The 23,511-nt window shown below is 44.3% G+C and overlaps 1 protein-coding gene and 1 long non-coding RNA gene across 3 annotated transcripts in view; one reads left to right on the top strand and one right to left on the bottom strand.

Moving 5' to 3' along the window:
* The window catches only part of LOC105371351 (uncharacterized), a 41,987-nt gene extending 26,585 nt beyond the window's left edge, over positions 1–15,402 (top strand). Inside the window, exons 2-3 of one of the 2 annotated variants that reach the window (XR_007065123.1) lie at positions 9,097–9,181; positions 9,970–15,402. This is a non-coding gene — a long non-coding RNA (uncharacterized LOC105371351). The remainder of the gene's footprint in view (positions 1–9,096; positions 9,182–9,969) is intronic. The other variant, XR_007065124.1, reaches the window with a different exon arrangement.
* VAT1L (vesicle amine transport 1 like) overlaps positions 1–23,511 on the bottom strand; it is a 191,544-nt gene that overhangs the window by 34,972 nt on the left and 133,061 nt on the right. The window lies entirely within an intron of this gene.

The following is a 23,511-nucleotide window of genomic DNA, read 5'->3' as shown; positions in this document are numbered from 1 at the left end:
ATAGCTTCTGGATGGTTCTGAAATTGAACACTCTGAATGGCCTGTGACTTAAGCTGGATAATCTGTATGAACATACAACCGACAGGTTTTTGTACCATGGTGAGTCTATAATTAGCCTCATCATTCTTCATTATCTGGGATTCCATGCAGGCTTTAAAGAAATTATCCCATGGATGAAGACAGCTTGGAAGAGTGTTTAGTTTCTGTGTGTGTGTGTGGCGGGGGGCAGACTAGGAGAAACCTGCCCCATGAAGTTTCCATCTGTTTGGACTCTTTTCCTTTCTTGCCGTTCACCACTCTGCAGAGTCTTGGCACAGAGAAGAGACAGGTACATGTGCCTCTCAGCCACCCACAACTGTTTAAGGAACTAAAATAGACCTAAAATAATAATAATGATGAAAATATCTATTTGAGCTCTGACTACTGTAGGCAGTATAATAGCAAGAGTAATGATGATAATGATTATGTTTGTTGAGAACATAACAATATACCAGCAGTAACTGGCTAACTGGCTTACAGGCATTATCTCCTTTAATCTTCACAACAATTTTATACAAGACAGGTGCATTATTTCTGTTTTTACAGTTGAAGAAATTGAGGATCCTAGCACTTACTATGCTCATGGTCACAGAGCTAAAAAAGTGGAAGAGCGAGGATTTAATGATGGGAATAAGACTGTTAAAAATCTATTCTGTCATGCCCATTATCCTTCGGTCATTTATTGCTTTAACAAGTCGGAGACATCTTTATACCTCTGCCTGGGGAGTGTAAAATTTAGTTACAATTTTTAGGGGCTATGCTACTCTTTCTTAGGATGGTAGCCTAAGGAATTTCTCTAGTATTCCAGTAGAGTAAACACATCTTTTAGAGGGACCAAGCTCACTTAATCCTTAGAGCAGGGTTTTTTATTCTTGGCATGGTGACATTTGGGGCTGGATAATTCTTCGTTGCAGGGGGCTATCCTGTGTATCTTGAGATGTTTAGCACAATCCCTGGCCTCCATTCACTAGATCCCAGTCATACTTTTCCAGTTGTGAGAATCAAAAATGTCTCCGGACATTGCCAGCTGCCCCTCAAAGGACGAAACTGCTCCCAGCTGAGAAGCACAGCCTTTGATGTAGCGTTAGAAATGGGAGGTTGGAGGGGAGCCAGGTCTGTAGCCAAGCAACAGGTAGGCAAAGGCAGGTGGCATCAAGCTCTAAAGATACATCATCTTTGAAGCTCTCCTTTAAACAATGCTCACGTGCCCTGGTTCTACACCTGTGGGTGTGGAGGAAAGAAATGGTGATGCTAATTGCATCCTAATAACTGCCACATGCTATGTGAGAGCCCTATGCTCTTGTGCTCCTAGAAATTTCATTCCTTAGAGGCTAAGTGACTTGTCTGAGACCACACAGCTAGTGAATGCTAGGGCTACTTTAGGAATACAGGGTGGGTCGGGCGCAGTGACTCACACCTGTAATCCCAGCACTTTGGGAGGCCGAGACAGGCGGATCATGAGGTCAGGAAATCGAGACCATCCTGGCTAACATGGTGAAACCCCATCTCTACTAAAAATACAAAAATAAATTAGCCGGGTGTGGTGGCGGGCACCTGTAGTCCCAGCTACTAGGGAGGCTTAGGCAGGAGAATGGCGTGAACCCGGGAGGTGGAGCTTGCAGTGAGCCGTGATGGTGCCGCTGCACTCCAGCCCGGGAAACTACAGTCCAGCCTGGGAGACAGAGCGAGACTCTGTCTCAAAAAAAAAAAAAAAAAGAAAGAAAAAGAAAATAGGCCAAGTGCGGTGGTTCACGCCTGTAATCTGTAATCGCAGCACTTTGGGAGGCTGAGGCGGGTGGATCACCTGAGGTCAGGAGCTTGAGACCAGCCTGACCAACATGGTGAAACCCCATCTCTACTAAAAATACAAAAATTAGCTGGGTGTGGTGGTGAGTGCCTGTAATCCCAGCTACTCAGGAGGCTGAGGCAGGAGAATCGCTTGAACCCGGGAGGTGGAGGTTGCACTGAGCAGAGATAGAGCCACTGCACTCCAGCCTGGGCGACAGAGGCAGACTCCATCTCAAAAAAACAAACAAAAAAGAATACAGGGTGGGCTGGGCACAGTGGCTCACACCTGTAATCCCAGCACTTTGGGAGGCCGAGGCGGGCAGATCACCTGAGATCAGGAGTTTGAAACCAGCCTGAACAACATGATGAAACTCTGTCTCTACTAAAAGTACAAAAATTAGCCGGGTGTGATGGTGGGTGCCTGTAATCCCAGCTACTTGGGAGGCTGAGGTGAGATAATCGCTTGAACCCGGGAGGCGGAGTTTGCAGTGAGCTCAGATTGTGCCACTGCACTCTAGCCTGGGTGACAGAGTGAGACTCTGTCTCAAAAAAACAAAGACAAAAAACAAAAAACAACAACAACAACAAAAAACAGGGTGGTTACTGAATTCAAACCACTGCTCTATCTGCACATGTAAGTGACCCTGTGGCCTCCCTCAACTCGATCCTTCTATGTTGGGAGAGTCAGTAATTGAAAAAGAGAAATGAGGCAACTATGGATGCAAGATTTCTGTTTCTCCAAAGGCAGTGTGGCAATTTCTCAAAGAGCTAAAAACAGAACTACCATTTGACCCAGCAGTCCCATTACTGTGTATATATTCAAAGAATTCTCCTCTCTTCACAATTGTATGCGCATATGAAAAAAAAAGCTCAACATCACTGATTGATATGGTGTGGCTGTGTCCCCACCCAAATCTCATCTTGAATTGCAGTTCCCACAATTTCCATATCGTGGGAGGGAACCAGGGGGAGGTAACTAAATCATGGGGGAGGGTCTTTCATGTGCTGTTCACGTGATAGTGAATAAGTCTCATGAGATCTGATGGTTTTATAAAGGGGAGTTTCCCTGCACAAGTTATCTCTTGCCTGCCACCATGTAAGACATGCCTTTCATCTTCCACCATGATTGTGAGACCTCCCCAGCCACATGGAACTGTGAGTCCATTAAACTTCTTTTTTCTTTGTAAATTACCCAGTCTCAGGTATGTATTTATCAGCAGTGTGAAAATGGACTAATACACTAATCATTAGAGAAATGCGAATCAAAACCACAATGAGATATCATCTCAAACCAGTCAGAATGGCTATTATTAAAAAGTAAAAAAATAACATGCTGGCAAGGTTGCAGAGAAAAAGGAATACTTATACACTGTTGGGAGGAGTGTAAATTAGCTCAACCATTGTGCAAAGCAGTGTGGCAGGCTGGGTGTGGTGGTTTGTGTCTGTAATCTGGGCACTCTGGGAGGCCGAGGCAGGTGGATCACCTGAGGTCAGGAGTTTGAGACCAGCCTGGCCAACACGGTGAAACCCTGTTTCTACCAAAAATACAAAAAAATCAGCCAGGCTTGGTGGCATGGTGCCTGTAATCCCAGCTACTCATGAGGCTGAGGCAGGACAATAGCTTAAACCCGGGAGCTGGAGGTTGCAGCGAGCCAAGATCATGCCATTGCACTCCAGCCTGGGTGACAAGAGCAAGACTCTCAAAAAAAGGCAGTGTGGCAATTTCTCAAAGAGCTAAAAACAGAACTACCATTTGACCCAGCAGTCCCATTACTGTGTATATATCCAAATGAATATAAATCATTCTGTCATGAAGATACATGCATGCATATGTTCATTGTCTGGTTGATAGCTTGAAATCAGCCATGGTGGGAAGATTTACACCATGGAAATTGGCAATAGATACAAGTGAGCAACTGCTGATACAAATCAACATATGACAGCACATCATAACTTGAATCAAAATCTGTTTCGGTGAGTAGGATGAATGGCAGCAGGAGATTCTAAAGGTAGAGAGTTACTGCTAATGCAACAAGCTGCCACTGGGTATTTCTGCCTCCAAAAGGCCCCACTAGCATGTCCCACAAGAAGCTGGGCCTTATCTTCTGAGAAGCAAGTGACTTTTGCTTATTCCAGGTACCACCTTAGTACAAGAAACATATTAACTGACATACTAATAACATATTTAAAGGAAAAGCCCACTCTGCATCCATAAATGGGAAAAAAATCAGTATTATTTGCCATAGACAGCTGAACATAATAAGCAAAATGTAAAGAAACAATTCTAATACATTCTAACTTGATACTGTTGCCAGCCTGAAGACTCTGAACTTGAAGCCTGCTCCCTCTTTGTTGAAAAGGGAGAGGGATGTGTTCAAGAGGTGTTAAAGCAGATTAGTACCTCACTGAGACTTTAATCTTAATATAATTGGGAAGATTGAGAGGGAGAAATGCAAAGGAAACAATGTAAGGCTATTCCATGTCCCAGCCCCCCACCAAGTCATCTCACATAAGAGTAGAGCTGTCTTTGGGAAACATACATTAGGTGATGCTGGAAAATTTGAAGACAGACAGAAAACCACTATTATTTTTAAATTAATTATGGATGTATCATTGAGCTGGGTGCAAAATTCATATTAACTTTTGAGCTAAAGACAGTGGTGTGGGGCTGGGCGCAGTGGCTCATGCCTGTAATCCCAGCACTTTGGGAGGCTGAGGCGGGCGGATCACGTGGTCAGGAGTTTAAGACCAGCATGACCAACATGGTGAAACCCCATCTCTACTAAAAAATACAAAAATTACCCAGGCATGGTAGCACGTGCCTGTAATCCCAGCTACTCAGGAGGCTGAGGCAGGAGAATCGCTTGAACCCGGGAGGCAGAGGTTGCAGTGAGCCAAGACTGTGCCGCTGCAATTCAACCTGGAAGACAGAGTGAGAGTCTGTCTCCAAAAAAAAAAAAAAAAAAAACCAAGTGGTATGTTAGACCTGGCTTGTACTAAGCTCATGAGAATCAATAGCTACATTTTCAGGAATACAGTAAGTCAGTTGATAGCACATTTGTAGCTTGAAATTGGCCATGGTGGAAATTTTGATGCAATGGAAGTTGGCAAATGCTGTAAATCACAGTTCCCCACCCCTAAGATTTGCTTGTTAAAACATTCACTAGCGTATCACTGGCCAAAGCTTTCTTGACATTTTGAGCTTGTTGAGACTCTTTAAACCATAGTCTTAGGCATCTGGAATGTCCATTTTCTTTCTCCTGCCTTGGAAAATTTCTGTGGAAAACCTTGATGCACTGATTAACTTCCTTAAGTCTGATGATCTCATTTCTATTACTGCATCTTAAAGAAGAGTGATAGAAACTACTGCTGAGAAATTTGCTGTAATTGATCATTGTATATAAAGCAGACTAACAAGCCTTTCCAACCCACACTCTTTAATGAGCTATTTTAGTGCTAGCCCTGCTAAATGTTTTAAATTTATAATGCCCTGGAAACTCATCAGTTTCTGAGGGTGTAATGATTATTAGGAAAAATAAACCTCAAGATATAAGACAATAAATTGAGTGCAGGAATTTTTCACCCTTTGTATTCCTTCAAGTCACTACTGTCTATTTTATTCCAAGCCTCTCTGTGTATCTTTTTGGTCTAGAATCTCAAACCCTTCGGTAGCAAGAGGGTTTGAGATTTTCTTGTACCCAGGAAGCAAGAGAAGAGCCAAACCCAGGTTACTGGATTTAGGGAGAGAGCTTTGGAGTTATGTTCTTCTGGGGCTATTTCTAGCACATAACTGTTACCACTGATGTGATGGTCAATATGTAACAACAGATCTCTAAAGGGAGCCCTGATTTGTGGCACTTGCTGAGTTATCACAGTTCTCAGTGTAACTAACTACTCCCACCGTCCCCACCCCGCCCGCCTCCGGCCCCCCACTGGTTTGAGCTATGATATAACACCACTGATGCCTAGCTGGAAAAAACATGCACACAATTGGCTCTCAGGAGCTCGTGCATACTGGCTCCAGCACCCCACAGAGTGTTGCTCAAATATATCTCCAGTCTTTCTGGTGTTTCAAAGAATTGGTTAAGCGTTTAGTCCTACAGGGAGGTTTAAACAAGCATTTTCCCAGAGTTAGCCTGGAGAGGTCGTCACGAATTCTGTTTAGCTAGCAGAGGAAGGTTACTTCCGTGCACTGTGGGTGGAGTACCTAGGAACTAACAGGGCAACAGAGCACTGAGAATCAGGAGGCAGGTAGAAGTGGGAAGCCCAGATCTGAGCAGTCCAGGTTGATGCAGGCAGGAAAGGTTTAAAGTCTCATTCCTGGAGTAGACAGAAGATCCAGGGTCACACCACCCAACCCACTCCTCTCTCCCATCCCCACACTCCTGTTTCCCCTTTTATCTGCCTCTTCTTTAGAAAAAGCAATGATGATCTTTTAATATAAAGTAAAAAATGATTTGTTGTGTTTATTGCTTATTTTCTTTCCTCACTCACCTATTTTTGCTGTATTAGTCTGTTCTCACAGTGCTGTAAAGAAATACCTGAGACTGGGTAATTTATAAAGAAAAGAGGTTTAATTGGCTCATGGTTCCGCAGCCTGTACAGGAAGCATGAGGCTGGCATCTGCTTGGCTTCCGGGGAGGCCTCAGGAAACTTACCATCATGGTGGAAGGTAAAGGGGAAGCAGGCACGTCTTTACATGGCCAGAGCAGAAGCAACAGAGAGAATAAGGGGGGAAGTGCCACACACTTTTAAACAACCAGATCTCATGAGAACTCGCTGTACAGTACCAAGAGGGAATGGTGCTAATCCCCATGATCCAGTCACCTCCCACCCAGCCCCTCCTCCAACACTGGGGATTACAATTCAACATGAGATTTGATGAGGACACATATTTAAACAATGTCACCCACACAGTAGACTATAAGTTCTAGAAAACAGATTTTTTTGACAGAGCGTTCAGTTTTGTTTATAGGTATATCCCAAGTGCATACAACACAGACAGCTAAATAGTTGGAATTCAATAAATATCTGTTGAATCAGGATCCAGCAGGCAAGGGAGACATAAGACACATTTAGAAGAGTGGTTTCCAGTTCATCTGTGCATTAGGGCCACTATGGTAGCATATTAAAACAGAAAACTCTGGGGCCCATCCCTAATAACTTCTGATTCATTAGGTCCAAAGTGGAGCTCAGGAACTGGTCCCAAGTGGTCCACATGTAGACACAGTCTATTTAGTCAGGAGGTATCAGCAACAGTAAACAGTGCTCATAAAAAGAAGGGTTTTGCCCTTTACGCTCTTAGAGTCATTCTTTCCAAATAGTAGCAGGAAACACGTTTTCCCAGTTCTTAAAAATACAGTGACTTAGCATATTCTTTCAGAGCACTGTGATTCTATCTTAAGTATTTGGGCAAGTTTCCTTCGGTAATTTTCAACTCTCTGTCTCTTCTGAATTCCCAACTAGTGGGCTTCACTGTGAGTTTAAGGCTCAGGTTATCTCCTCCCCTTATGTAATTCAAGGGATTCAACTCGCCTTTTCAAGGAGGTCCTTCTCCCGGTCTGAGAATTTGTGAGACAGTCAGGTGGGAAGGGCCCCCTGGCAAAACTCCAACTGGCCTATTCACTGGGAGGAGTGCATACTGGGATGTAACAGAGCAGGAGCACCGTCATTTCAGACAAGCATCACCACTTTAAGTTCCAGCTCCCTTTCTAGCCTCAAGCATTACAAGGAAATCACTTCTCTTCTAACTATAAGCAGCCAGAAAGAGCAAATAGTAAAACACAAATAAAACAGCTCGGCCACAAAGGGAGGTAGTGGGGGAAAGTCTCTTGGGTAACTGTCAAGCCACCCTTCGTGTTTCTCTCCTCTTTCTTTAATTCTTACATTTGGTGCCAAAACCTGGAATGGGTGTTGGGAGCACAGGCTCTCTTGCAACTCAGGAAGCAGTGGGCAACGGCGGCTCACTGTGAGTTAACCTCTGGATCCTGAAGGTCTCTGGCCACCCGCCCATCTTTTCCCTCACTTCATTTTCAACTGATTTGCGTGAGGAGGACGATGAACCTGAAGGGAACTGTGAGGCTCAGGCTGGGGCTACTCCCAGGTGGGCTCTCAAAACCCTCAGGTTGGGCAGGACGCGGTGGCTCACGCCTGTAATCCCAGCACTTTGGGAGGCCGAGGTGGGCAGATCATGAGGCTAAGAGATCGAGACCATCCTGACCAACATGGTGAACCCCGTCTCTACTAAAAATAAAAAGTTAGCCGGGCGTGGTGGCATGCACCTGTAATCCCAGCTACTCGGGAGGCTGAGGCAGGATAATTGCTTGAACCCGGTAGGTGGAGGATGCACTGAGCCAAGAATGTGCCATTGCACTCCAGCCTGGTGGCAGAGCGAGACTCCGTCTCAAAAACAAACAAACAAACAAACAAACAAACAAGAAACCAAACAAACCCTCAGGTCTTAGGAATCCACCCCTGACCACTCGCAAGTGGGATTTTGCTCCCTAACCCTTGCTCCCTCTTCCTCCCTCTCCTTCCTCTCCTCTTTCTTTAATCCTTACAAGATGGAGCCACAGTAACTAATGCTGTTTGCAGCAGGGAGGAGCCTGGCCCCTCCTCTTCCTGTGTGGAACCTGGGATTCAAACTGTGAGGCAGGAAGTGCACAGGTAGGAAGCACGCTCTCTCGCTTCACTAAGAGTCTCTGTTTCCCCTTTTTTTCCTTTTTGCCGAGTAAATCCCATTTTTCTCACTCTTCGAATCGTCTGCAAGCCTACATTTTCGTGGCCATGTGACAAGGACCTCATCTTTAGTTGACTTAAGGAGAAGTCCCCCAGCACTTGGGTCGTTTTCTTTGATGTTGGCTTTTACATAAAGGTGGGTGCCAGGTGCAATGAGGCAGAAAGGGCTGCCTGCGTGGTGACTTGAGGAGACTGAGGCTCCCCTTACTCACTGTAGTCATCCTGGGCAAGTCAGAAAGCCTCTCCCAGCCTCAGTTTCTTTAGCTCTAAAGTGGAAAATTGTCCCAGAGGGTTTAAGTGAGGAAGAAATATAGCTGAAGATGGACAAGTGTTTCGCAGCCTTAAGTCTCAGTATAGTAACATAACCAGGAATGTCCAGCTTGCTATTCCAGGCCATGGCTCCCCCTGTACCTACCAGGTCTTTCCCCAGCCAGTCCTGGGAAGTTATAAGAAAAGTCAGTGGTGCGATAGTCTCCCCACAACCTTATCATGCCTTCCCATTTCTTCCCACCTCCTTTTTTTTCTCCCCAGGTATGTATCACTGATTCTCAAAAGAGGAAAATTAAGGAGTGTCAAAAAGAGAACGAGAGAGAAGCAGGATGCTCTGGAGAATGAAGTGAGTATTTATTAGGCATCTACCATGTTTTAGACAATGCCGGGTACTTCAGATACATGATCACACCAGAATTCCCAATAGCCCTGCAAACAGGTATCATTTCTCCAATTTAATGAATGAAAAAAACTGAAGCTCATAGGGTTTAGATATTTTGTCCATGGTCACACAGGTAGTTTATGCCAGAGATGAGCTTTAAATTCTGGCCAGCTTAACATTACAGCCAGTGCTGGTCTACTGTGCAACCCTGCAGTCAGCAATCACTGCAGACACGATCCAACCAGTCTGAACCTCTTTCCCACATTTTCCCCTTCTCTCTCTCTCTCTTCCCCCCACTCATCCCTCTCCGTCTCTGTCCCTCTCACTCCTTTCTTCTCCTTTTCTCCCTTCCCCGCCACCGCCCCCATCTCTCTCTGCCTCTTAAATTTGGAATAAGGGTAGTTTTTTTTTTTTTTTTTATAAACCGTCATTGAATGGGGAGTGGAGGAAATACTGAGCACAAGGCTTGTGCTAATTGGAAGGTATTTGAAAAAAAATTCTCGTGCCCAAAGAAGATGCTCACCTCGTATTTCCCAAAGAGTTGTAATTCTCTACAATATGAGTTCTCTTACCCGCACTACCAATTTATTTCATTTTCTGTAATAAACAGTAATGACATTTCTTAACTGCACTCCATAAAAAAGTCTCAATTATCACTTTAAAACTGTATCATATCAGATGAGTGAAGAGACATCTCCTACAACCTAAAAGAGATTTCACTCTTCCAATGAATCTTTTACTATTTTTTTCAGAGATGCTGTACATTCTGTAAATCATTTTGCTGGTTTCAATAGAAAGTCCAGACCAAGTGGAATAAAGTGCATTTTGTGGGTCAGATGTAAAAGACAGAAGAGACCTGCCCAAAGAAACATTCCGTGGTACCAGAGGAAATCGAGCACCAAGAGGCCTTTTTATCCCCCCTATACTCAAAGATGAAAACTAGACTAGGGTCCCTTTTCAAGGTAAAATGACAGGCAGGTCCATTAAGCTGCTGTGAAATTGTTCCCCATCCTGCAAATTCATCCACCAGACCGGGCCCTGCATCTTACTCATCCTCATGTCTCCATTGTCTGATATAAGACCTGGCACAAATTGGTACTTCCTGCTTGTTAGTGAAACTCAATATATCACACAATTAAGTACTTTTCCATTTTAAGATTGAACAGTAAACCTACCCTGTCTCCCTCTGTTCTCTGCTCTAACTCCTAGTTTGCTGTGGTGATCACCCTTTAGTGTCTTAACAAGATTCAAGGCACTGTTCACATCCCACTAAATTAGTTCCCTATGGTTCCTATAACAAATTACTACAGACTTAGTGGCTTAAACCAACAGGGGTTTATTATGTTATAGTTCTAGAGGTCAGAAATCCAAAATGGTTTTCATTGGCCTAAAATCAAGGTGTCAGCTGGGCCATGTTCCTTCTGGAGGCTCTAGGGAAGAATCCATTTTTTTTTGTTTGTTTGTTTTTTGGATTCTGCTTGCATTCCTTGGCTCAAATCTCCCCAGCTCAAGGCTCTTAACTTAATCACACCTGTAAAATCCTTTTGGTCATGCAAAGTAATATATTGACAGGTCCAAGGGATTAGAACAGGGTCATCTTGGGGGTGTGGGGAGCATCATTCTGTCTACCAAAACCACAGAACCACAGCTCTTCAGGCCAAAAACCTAGGGGTTTTTCATGATTCTCTTCTTCCCCTCAATCTTTACGTCCAATCTGCCAATAAATCTGGTTGGTTTAACATCCAGAATATATCCTGAATCTAATGACTTTTCACCTTCTCTTTTGAACAGTCTTATCCAGGCTACCATCAATTTTTGCTTGAATGACTTCAGTAGCTCCCTAATTATTCTTCTTACTTCTATTCTTACTCCTCCCTCTAGCAGAACAGTCTATTGCACAGAAATAATAATAGAAAAGGAACCTTAAGAAAAAGAACACAGACCACGTCATTCCATCGCCCAAAGCACTCCAGTGGGTTTCTTCCCATCATGGCTAGAAATTTTCCAGATTCCCGATTGTGCCTCCCTCTCCCAGATTATGCACCATCTGCTTACTTCTCTGACCTAGGCTATGTGCCATCTGACTACTTCTCTGACCTCATTTACTGTTGTCCCCTTCACTTCCTTGCTCCAGTCGTATTTGCCTTATTGTTGTTGTTTTTTAAATGTACCCAGCCCACTGTCACCTCAGGGCCTTTGCACTTGTTAATCCCCCTCCTTCCAGCTCTGCTTAAGACCTCTCCTCCTTTGCTTCAGCCTCTTCTCCTCAGATCACCTCTTCAGGCTTTGCCTGACTCCCCTATTCAAAATACCTGCCTTCCCCATCCCTTTTACTCCATTCCTTTAGCTTATTTTATTTTTCTTTCTGAAATTTTTCCATTGTTGAAATTATTTGACCATTTTTCTTGTTTGTTATTTTATCCTCATACAGTTTTAAATTCTAGGAGAGCAGTGTCTGCCAAATTCTCTACATACTGACTAGTAAATGGTTCAGGTAGGTGTTTAATGAATATTCAAATGAATGAATGGATTTCTGATTTAATCAATCCTCACAACAACTGTTTAAGGTAAATACAGTTTTTGGAGTCAGGAAGATATGGGTTTGAGTCTGGCTTTGTCACTTATTAGCTAAAAGAACCTTGGACAAGTTACTCTACCATGCTGAACTATTGTTTTCTTAGGCGACAATGGGAACTAAGATAGGGGTTTACTATAAGTCCAAATGAGAGAGAGTGATGAAACTTCAAGGAGTGATAGTTGAAGTATTCCATCACATTAATTTCTTCTGACACTGGAATGACTAAGAACTTAGGGTCCTGAGGTGGAAAGATTTGTACTTTTCCATATCTGGTTCTCTTTTTCCTAAACACTCAGGAAGACTTCACTTCCCAGCCTCCTTGGAGTCAGGTGGGGCCATGCGATCAGTTCTAGCCAATGAAATGTGTGGGGGAGAATTGTCCCCAAGTGCTTGGAATCATACCAATGTCCCTCTGTTTCTGTAGAGTTCTAACATGCTTGAATCCTACCATTCATTCTCCTGCGAGCTATCTCAGCACTCCTGGTAAAGAAAGACCTCCTTTGTTTTTTCCCTTTGGATTTCTGTGAATCCAGGAGGCAGGCAAGAATGCAGGTTTGTGGGCAGAACAGAGAGGAAGAGAAGCTTGGAGGTACTGTGGCCAGCACAAATGAGTGGATCTCAGGGATTGCTGAATTGGTAGGAGGTGGCATTCCTTTCACCAGACACTCTGTTTCTACTGCAGGTACCAAATCATAAAGGACTGTCCTGCTTTTCTCTCAAGTGTAAGATATTGTGTTGCTACGATTTGATAATCTGATGGGATATAGGATGGGACACCAAAATCTTGTGAACTTGTATTCAGTGAGATATGAAGAAAAGAGTTTCCACAGTCAAATAAGTAGGAAAATGCTGTATACTCTGTCAACAAGAAGTCCTGCAGGAAAGAAACCTATCTAACTTAGTTTAATCTGGCATTTTAAAAATTTACTGTATTTTGGTTGGGAGTGGTGGCTCAAGCCTGTAATCCTAGCACTTTTGGAGGCCAAGGCGGGAGGATCATGAGGTCAGGAGATGGACACCATCCTGGCTAACACGGTGAAACCCCGTCTCTACTAAAAAATACAAAAAAATTAGCCAGCTGTGGTGGCGGGCGCCTGTAGTCCCAGCTACTTGGGAGGCTGAGGCAGGAGAATGGCCTGAACCCAGGAGGCAGAGCTTGCAATGATCCAAGATCGCACCACTGTACTCCAGCCTGGGTGACAGAACGAGACTCCATCTCAAAAAAAAAAAAAAAAAAATTACTGTATTTCAGGCTTATATAATGCATTTCCTTCCTTGCCATGAAAGAATAAGAATCCAAACATTCCCATGAACTAAATGCTCAGGCGTGGATGAATGAATGAAAATCCAAGGCAAAATAATACATGTCTACTCCCTTAGTGGTAAAACAGGCAATCCCAAAACATAGCAGTAAAGATACAATGTTTTCACAGTACATCAAAGTTTTCCTATAAAAAATAGCAAGTCAAAGTTCACATAGTTGCTTAGGTGATTTTCCCCTAACACTTTGAACTTAAATATAATTACTACTAACCCTACTAACTCTAGCATGTGCTAGCATTTAGTAAGATCAATATATATTTTTCCAGCTGTGTGATTTTCATATTGCCCCCTGCCTAGGGGCTTATAAGATATCACTACATATTCAGACTTCATTATTTCCTACTAGGATTCCACTGTACAACAATCCATGCTTACAAAAATAATTTTCCATTATAAAATCACTTTTTAAAACGTATGATGAAAAGTAATTCTTGCATATAATTTCTGTATAAAATTGGGTGACGTCTCATATAACTGGTGAATTTTACACATCAGAAAATATAGTATTTCACCACAGAACCCTTCTTTCCCCCTTCCCTGAGCTATTTTTAACATCTCACAGACCTTACTCCTCCATGAAACACATTTTGGAATATCTGATGTAAAAGTTATTTCTATGTAGGCTGCTTTTGTTTCCCAGAGGTAAAATTTGTGATCTTGGCTGAGTTATTTCTTTGTGGGTCTCAGTTTCCTTATTTAAAAGGAGCTACTAATACAGTTAAAGCCTAGAGCCTTTCATTTCCAACATTCTTTCATTCTGAGGGTGCTGACGTCATTTTATATAAAGCTAGGCTGCCTAATGCCCACCCACGTCGTTCAATGAAAGAAAGTTTATTAAAACTTCTTCTGAGAGTCATAATTCTATCGAGGAGGCAATCTAATAAGAGCATTAAGACATTGGCTGTGGAGTAGAATAACCTGGGTGTTAATTGCAGGTCCACCACTAACTGACTGGCTGTGCACTCTTGAACAAGTGATTACTTTTTAGCTAAATCTGTAAAATGAGGAGGGTACCATTATCCACCTTTAGAGTTTTGAGGTTTAAATGAGATAAAATTTAAGATTCTTAGTACAGCGCCTGGAAGATCCTAGCTACTCAATGAATTATGTTGAATGTTGTGTCTTAGATTAAATTAGTGTAAAGCCAGAAAGAATGCAGTGTCAAGAGAACAGCCTGCTTTTCTCCACCTGCTCTTTCCAGAATGACAAACACACTGGGTAGGAGAGAGAACAGTGTTCTCTCCATGCCCCCTTGAACAACTCTGCATGTTGGAGCAGGCCAAGAGGAGATGTCCATTTCCTGGGAAGAAGACTGAAGGTTTTCTTAACAGTGGGGGCTTTCAACACCCTGAGATTAGGATTATCCAACCACCAAATGATGATCCATACCTTGCAGAGGGTTTTATTGAGTGCTACGGAACCTACCTTGAGATATAAGCGGGGCACGGGCCCTGGAACCTGTCAAGAACGTTGAGTCCGGATTGAGAGTCTCTTTGAGTTTGATTCAGCGAGGGGTTATCTACCTCACACCTCCTTCCGTACCAGTCTTACCTGCCACTGCAGAGAGCCATTCAAAGGACAGGGCCAGACTAAATTCCTGTGGGCCCTTCTCCCCGAGGTAAGAGATAGGATCAATGGATGGGGTAGGTGGAATTGGCCATTGTTTGGAAACAGCTAAGCCATGTCCCCCCAAAGAACATCAGTAATGATACTCATGGGAGAGACCTAGTGGCTTTCACTGAGGCCATGCATGACCAGGAAAGACAGACAATACAGGCTAGGGGTCGAATTCAGTGGTTCATCTCAACAACAATAAGGAATATGTGTTGGGGGTGGGTGCTTGTGGTTCATTCCAAGGAAGACATGGAATATGGGCTGGAAAGAGGGGTGTGGGTGGTTTGTTTCAAGAAGGATACGAAGTTTGGGCTGGAAGGTAGGTCCTTCTAAAAGGGATAAGGAGTATGGGCTATGGGTATTGGTTGGAGGTTCATTTGGAAATAAGACATCTTTTCTGGAAAGGCACGCAGGAAGAAAAATATATCATGTTGAAGAGGACAGTGACTTGGAGAACTCGCTGTGTTGCCCAGGCTAGTCTCAAACTCCTCCACTCAAGTAATCCTGCTGAGGCCTCCCAAAGTGCTGGGATTACACACCCAGCCAGAGGGCAGTTTTTGAGTTACTGTGCTAACTTCCGATACCAGTTCTTCCACTTATTATCTGGGTCTCCTCGGACAGTTTGCTTAACCTGTAAATGTTTCATCAAATATAAAATGGGGATAATTCCAACACCTACCTCATGTCACCTTGTGAGTATTTAAGCATGTAGTGAGGGGGAGAGTGGCCTTTGTTTCTTTCTGTGAGGGCTCTCTATCTCACCAAAGCATTCCCATCTGACTCCCTATCTGTCACCCTCTCCGTCCTGAAAATGTTAGTGTCTTGAGATATGTTGACTATTTGGAAAAATGGGGCTCTTTTCTTCCACTTGAAATTACATTTATATTTTAAATGTTCTCTGGAATACATCCATGATTTGCTGGAGCTGAGAATTGCTAATAAGGCTTTATTTATGAAGTATTAAACACTGAAGGAAATTCAGCTTGTCTTGAAACTCCCTAGGGCCTAATACAAATACATGTACCTAAAAACACATGCACAGAGGGCTCATATAACTCCTCTTTCTACCAGTGTTGAGAAAATGTTGCCAATCTTTCACTAATGATCCCTGCCTGGAAGAGAGTATCCCGCTGTTCAGGCAGTACTAAGTCTAGAGACTCATTATTGAAGGAGAGGGGGAATTTCTGGAGACAAAGAAAAATGTCGCGTTCCATCAATCCAGAGAATGCAGAGCTCAAATAGAGAGCATTCAAAGTACATCAGTATCACACAGCATAAAAATAATAGAGCGGCTAGGCACGGTGGCTCACACCTGTAATCCTAGCACTTTGGGAGGCCAAGGGGGCGGATCACGAGGTCAAGAGATCGAGACCATCCTGGCCAACATGGTGAAACCCCATCTCTACTAAAAATACAAAAACTTTTACCGGGGCATGGTGGTGCGCACCTGTAGTCCCAGCTGCTCGGGAGGCTGAGGCAGGATCGCTTGAACCCGGAAAGGGGAGGTTGCAGTGAGCTGAGATTGCACCACTGCACTCCAGCCTGGTGACAGAGTGAGACTCCATCTCAAAAACAAACAAACAAACGAAAATAGAGCATACTGGCACAGTGACTTAGAAGACTTCAACAGTCATTTAAAAAAAAAATTCTTACTCTCCTGACACCCCCATCAATTTAAGACATTTTGTGTAATTGTTTTTGTTACTGATTTTGGTGAGTAATATGAAACACGTCATTTACGAGGGGCTTGCTTTCAAATCTTATTTCCTTGATTACAGAAATTTCTTTAAATATCACTATGGTCAAGGGGAGGGCTACAAATGCCTTATTTAAGAGGAAATGTTGGTTGTCACATCACATCCAAGATAGCGGTTTCTGAGATGACAGTTATGGAAGATTCAGCTATGACTTTTGTCTCTCACAGGATAGTGTTATGAAAAATCTCAATACTTGATCTTTTAAAAGATGAGTGACCATCTCCCTCCATCCCTGAATTCTCCCCCAACCATGATGGAATAATCATAAGAGAGAAATAATAGCAGTCACAATAGCAGGATTAGCAAACAGCTGAGTTTTTACAAGTGTGTTAAGCAATTATGTAATTTTTCTCATTTAGCATTCTCCACACACACATTTGCTAGAGGGAAGCCTGGTGACCAGAGAGATGTTGGCTTCCCTGGGACTTCTCAGGTCACAAATGAACCAGAGCCAGGTCTTGCTCTGGTTCATCTTTACAAAAGGAGGCCAGCTCTGGGGTCTTTGATTGAACTAAACAATATTAAAATGACTTTGTCAATAAGGCCTGCTGTGAAAATGGCCCACTTGAGCCCAGTAGACACTGAAGATACTGCATTGTTTTATTATTCTGATATTGTATGGAAGAGGCATCCCATCCTAATGGGAAGGATTGAATTAGAGGTCAAATGACTTTTGATTTCCATGCAGAAAGAGAGTCAGAACTGTAGATCAGGGATACTAGTGGTAAGAATTTTCAAAGGAAATTGAAAAGTTTATTTATTTATTTATATTTATTTATTTTGAGACGGAGTCTCTGTCACCCAGACTGGAGTACAGTGGCGTGATCTCGGCTCACTGTAACCTCCACCTCCCGGGTTCAAGCGATTCTCCTGCCTCATCCTCCCGAGTAGCTGGGACTACAGGCGTGTGCCACCACACCCGGCTAATTTTTTAGTAGAGACGGGGTTTCACTGTGTTAGCCAGGATGGTCTCGAACTCCTGACCTCATGATCCGCCCACCTCAGCCTCCCAAAGTGCTGGGATTACAGGCAAAAGCTACCGCGCCTGGCCAAAGTTTTTCAATTTTTTTGAGGTGCAAATCAGGACAGGCGGCCTGATGCAAATGAATGGGTGTACCTAGGGTGGCCATAGGATGACAGCAAAAGCTAGTGGCTAAAGAGTGCAGATTCTGGAGATGGATCAATTGGTTTTGATCCTGTTTGTACTTCTTACTAGTTGCTGAGCCTCAGTTTCTTCATCTGTAAAGTAGGGACAACAGTAGTACTCACTATATGCAAAGCCCTCCCAACAGTGTTTTTTTTTTTTTTTGAGATGGAGTCTCGCTCTGTCACCCAGGCTGGAGTGTAGTGGCGCGATCTCGGCTCACTGCAAGCTCTGCCTCCCAGGTTCACGCCATTCTCCTGCCTCAGCCTCCTGACTAGCTGGGACTACAGGTGCCCGCCACCACACCTGGCTAATTTTTTGTATTTTTAGTAGAGATGAGATTTCACCATGTTAGCCAGGATGGTCTCAATCTCCTGACCTGGTGATCCTCCTGCCTCGGCGTCCCAAAATGCTGGGATTACAGGCGTGAGCCACCGCGCCGGGCCATAACAGTGTTGATGTGTACTAATTCCTCAGGAAATAGCCTATGACTGTTATGTTGTCTTCTACATTCCTAACCAGAGAGGTAGCATATGTAAATGTGTAATGGTCCTTGACAATCTGGAGGAAGTGATTGGTGGATTTCTAACTTCAGGGGTAGCCACGATAGAGTGGCCCAAGAAGCCAGAGTCTCTTTCTAGGTCACATGTGGAAGGAGGGAGGGTGTCCCCACCAAGGGAGACTGCAAGCGGAATGGGACATGTCTGTGTCTCAGTGCTGGAAACAAAGGCTCAGCCAGAGTTCTAGAGGGGGCAGTGATTTGCTCAGAAGAGTCATTAGTGGGGCATAGAGGTTGGTGAGGACTGTGAAGTCAACCTTAGTTTTTATCCTGAAATACTCTTTAGAAAACCTGGCCACACTTCCATGTCCTTAATCAACCACCGTATCTTTTAGCTCTTACCCCTACTTCTACTTTTTTTGAGATGGAGTCTTGCTCTGTCACCCAGGCTGGAGTGCATGGTGCAGTCTCAGCTCATGGCAACCTCTGCCTCCCAGGTTCAAGCGATTCTCCTGTCTCAGCCTCTTGAGTAGCTGGGATTACAGGCGCCTGCCACCACACCCTACTAACTTTTGTATTTTTAGTAAAGATGGGGTTTCACCATGTTGGCCAGGCTGGTTTCGAAACACCTGTCCTTAGGCGATCTGCCTGCCTCAGCCTCCCAAAGTGCTGGGATTACAGGTGTGCACCACCGTGCCTGGCCCAACTCCTATTTTATTACTCCTATTTTTTTTTTTTTTTTTTTTACTTTGAGACGGAGTCTCACTCTGTTGCCCAGACTGGAGTGCAGTGGTGCGATCTCGGCTCACTGCAAGCTCCGCCTCCCGGGTTCACGCCACTCTCCTGCCTCAGCCTCCTGAGTAGCTGGGACTACAGGCGCCCGCCACCATGCCTGGCTAATTTTTAGTAGAGACGGGGTTTCACAGTGTTAGCCAGGATGGTCTCGATCTCCTGACCTCGTGACCCACCCGCCTCGGCCTCCCAAAGTGCTAGGATTACAGGTATGAGCCACCGCACCCGGCCCCGACTCCTATTTTTTAATGACAGATTATCAGCAGTAAAGGATCAAATGCATACATGCCATTGATCACTCAAGGACCCAATAAAGCATCTAGGCAGCTTCATGGTCAAGGACTTTCAAAGCCAGAAGCAGGGGGAGGTGGGGGGAATTAAAGGAAGATGCTGCTTCTGGCTTTTTATGTTGTTTGGTAGATTTCTCAAAAGGCACTTTTCTGTAACCCAGCAACAACTCTGCAGGATCACCATCTATTTTATTCTTTCAATTTCCTGTAGTCTCTCTAGATTTTACGTCATCTGCAGAACGAGGGAAAAGCAAAATTGATTTTAGGAAGGGAAACTGTAAAAACAGTTCTGGGCTAGCTAGTCTCATCTCCTGCTGAGTTCATTTTATTAAAGGAAGCAGTGAAAACGCTAGAACGTGGAAAGCTGAAATAATCTTTTGTTCTTATATTGACTCTGGGCAGAGAAAAGCAATATTGATTGAAGCGCCATTGCATATATGGACCTCTTTAATACCCCGAAACAACCCTTTCCACTAAGGGGTATTATTAGCTTGATTTTGTAAATGGTAGGCTGAAACTCAAGCCACTTGATCGAGGTGAAATTAGTGACTATTTGGTAAAGCTGGGATCAAATTCACATTTGTCAGATTCAGATAACCAGAAGGGGTAGATGGTTTGGCCAATTCTGCAACCAGGGCCAGGACTAGGCAAGAGAAAGACCAGGGGGTGTAAAATTTAAGGAGGCCCTCACTCTCCAGGCTGCACGTGAACCTGAGAGTGAGTGCCTCCTTAAATTGTGTACACTAGGTACCTTGCTTGCCTGACCCTAGTGTGCCCTGGCAGTAACCATTGCTTGGTGGTAGGGAAGGCAAAAGCTACTAATTTTGAGGACTACCTATAAGCTGAACATTCCATGAGGAGCTTTACATAACGGACCACCCATGTTCTCAAAAGCCTTGTGGGTGAGTATTCTTACCTTTAATGCATACACTATTAGACAGAGATAGTTTTACATATCTTAATTCTTATGGAAAGGGCCATGTATTTGGAAAGAAATCCTTTAGTAAAATGAAAAGGTACAGAGACTGAGCTGGCTATCTCTCTACCCAGGGCTTAGGTAATTTATTTGCTGATATTCTTGAGACATTACCCTGCTAGACAGAGGGGGAAAAATTGAAGGTCTTGGAGTCTGGGTTGAGGGGATATGAAAATAAGGGTAAATGGGCCAGGCGTGGTGGCTCACGCCTGTAATCCCAGCACTTTGGGAGGCCAAGGCAGGCAGATCACTTGCCAGGAGTTCAAGACCAGCCTGGCCAACATGGTGAAACCCCGTCTCTACTAAAAATACAAAAAATTAGGTGGGTGTGGTGGCATACGTATGTAATCCCAACTACTTGGGAGGCTGAGGCAGGAGAATCGCTTGAATCTGGAAGGCGGAGGTTGCAGTGAGCCGAGATTGTGTCACTGCACTCCAGCCTGGATGACAGAGCAAGACTCTGTCTCAGGAAAAAAAAACAGTGGGGAGGAAGGAAAATAAGAAGTGGGTGGAAGCTTGGAGAAGGCTGGGAGTTTGTGCATTTTGATGTGCTCATTCCCGGCTCTCATACACTAAAGCTTAAAATGCCTGATATGTGTGCCAGGGAGGGGCATCTTATGGGACCCAGTGAAGAGGCTGAGCTTGATGCTGGGGTGGTCCTGCATGAAAAAGAGATCCTGCCTGCAGTCATGAGGAAAACCTCCAGATCATAAGCCCTAGAAAATAGCAAATATTGAAGGAAGAGTTTCAGACTTTCAAAGACCACAACATTGACTCGGGGGTGTCTGAGTCAATATAGCTTCTCCGGGAGAAAGGGGGATGCCAGCTGACATCTGTATTATGTACACATGGAGACAAGGAGGTTCAGAGATGTTGAATCAGTTGCTCAGTGTCTCACAGCTGGTAAGAACCAGTGGGGATGCAACTTCTTGTGTGTCTAGTTTCAGAGCTGCATAAATAGATTTCCTCATCTTTACTGGGGGAAGGGAGGGGGGGAAGGCAGACCCCAGACCATGAGGGAGAAATCCAAGCTTGTGGAGAGACAGTCAGCTTGACAAATGGGTCCTGTACACACCAGTGTGTCGGCTGCTAAGCTCATATGAGCTATCCTGGGATGGTTTTCACAGCAGCTTTTGTTTTGTTTTGTTTTGTTTTCCTCTCTCCCCAGTGTAGTGAAGGCACTTTGTTTTCAAAAACTGTGTGAAGCCACCCTGGGTACCAACTTTGAGAAAGAAGCAGGCTTGGGAGAAGCCTTTGTCCATCTCCCTCACTTTACAGATTGGGAAACTGAGGCCCGGAGGAGAAAGCTGTGTGACTAGGCAGGAGGCTGGCTTCTGAAAAATACCAAAGAAATTCTACAGAAGTCCAACAGAGAGTAGAAAAAACCTGATAGGTGAGGATGCTGGCTTAATTTTGTTAACATCAATCTTTCCAGGGACCAAGATTTTAAGACCTGATTCTGGGCCCCTGAGTTTATTCCATTCATTCATTCATCCATGACAGAGTCTTGCTCTGTCTCCCAGGCTAGGATGCAATGGCATGATCTTGGCTCACTGCAACCTCTGCCTCCAGGGTTCAAGCTATTCTCCTGCCTCAGCCTCCTGAGTAGCTGGGACTACAGGTGCGCGGCACCATGCCCAGCTAATTTTTTGTATTTTTGGTAGATACGGGGTTTCACCATGTTAACCAGGATGGTCTCGATTTCCTGACCTCATGATCCACCCACCTTGGCCTCTCAATATGCTGCAATTACAGGCGTGAGCCACTGCGCCCAGCCAAAGTTATTCCTTTTAACGGATGTTCAGAATTGTCCTCCAGAAGCCGAGGTTCGGGGGGTCACACAGGTTGCAGGGTCTCCTGCTGAAGGAGGAATTGAGAGCTGGGAGAACTCTCCAAAGCCCACCACTGTGGCAAGGAACTGCTGACTTTTAACAGGCTGCAAGGTACAGTGGTGGCTCTGAAGATTTAGTGCTTGTAGACGTCAACGAAGATTGAACAAACAGGTCTGGGTTGAGGTCCCGGAATCTGCATTATAAAGCTCCCCAGGAATTCCAACTCAGGTGGTTCACAGTGCACACTTTGAGGGCCACTGGCACAGTGAGAGTGGCATGGGTTGGAAAGTCAGGCAAACTTAGGTTTAAATCCTGGCTCCATGGGGAGGGGGTTTCAGCCCTCTGTTCCTCACCGTTTTTATCCATCAAATGGGAAGCGTTTGGGAGTGTGCAAGCTTAAAGGGAATTTCTAAAAAGTGCCTAAAACACTGCCAGGCACATAGAGTGGCATTCACTTTAATACCGTCCTCTCCCTTTGCCCTATTTTCGAGGCTGTTTCCCTACTTCTCCACTGCATAAGTCCTGTCCTTGCTGGCACATGTCACAGCACCTCTCTCTTCATCACATGCCCAGCTGTGACAAGCCGCTGACAGCTGCCTGTCTTTTCATTGTTAAGAATTAATCTCCTTGCATTCTGAGGCCAAGGCAGGAAAAGAATTTTCCTTTGCAGCCATTAATAAGCAGCACATTTCTAACAGTGGCTTAGGCTCCCTTTGTCTGTTCATTTGAAACGTGTGTGACTCTGCTGCCTTGATGGAACTGGCCTTGGTAATTACTATAATTCTGTGGCTCTGAGAAACTCAGCTTGAACAGAGTACCTTTTAATTCCAAGACCTAATAAGAACCACATGGATGTTGTACATGCATTTGTACACGCAGACATAGACACAGATACACAGAGACACATACAGACACTGCCCCTCCACCCCCGCCCGCCATCCCAAACTCACACAGCGAGAGATTCTTCATTTATGAAATAAAATATTCCACATGCTTAAATTTTCCAGAAAGTAACTTGTCTCAGTAGGTGCTAACCTGAAAAAAAGGTTTTTCTAAAGTATATGTGGCTAGAATGCAGTGGCTCATGCCTGTAATTCCAACAATTTGGGAGGCTGAGGCAAGAGAATTGCTTGAGCCCAGGGCTTCAAGACCAGCCTGGGCAACATAGTGAGACCCTGTCACCATAAAAAAAAATTATAAAAATTACCCAGGTGTAGTGGTATGCACCTGTAGTCCCAGCTACTCGGGAGGCTGAGGTGGGAGGATTGCTTGAGCCTGGGAGGTAGAGGTTGCAGTGAGCTGTCATTGTGCCACTGCACTCCAGCCCGGCCAACAGAGTGAGATCCTGTCTCAAAAAGAAAAAAAAGTGTACAAGTTTCCTTGATTGTTACTTATTCAAGTAGGATTTGAGGTGACTTAGTACAAGTGCCTAAAAGTCACAAATAAAGTGACCAAATTAGGACAAAGGGAAAATATTAGTAGAGACATA

The sequence above is a fragment of the Homo sapiens genome, chromosome 16 (genome assembly GCF_000001405.40).
Source record: "Homo sapiens chromosome 16, GRCh38.p14 Primary Assembly".
Taxonomy (NCBI): domain Eukaryota; kingdom Metazoa; phylum Chordata; class Mammalia; order Primates; family Hominidae; genus Homo; species Homo sapiens.
This window is presented reverse-complemented; position numbering and strand designations above follow the sequence as displayed.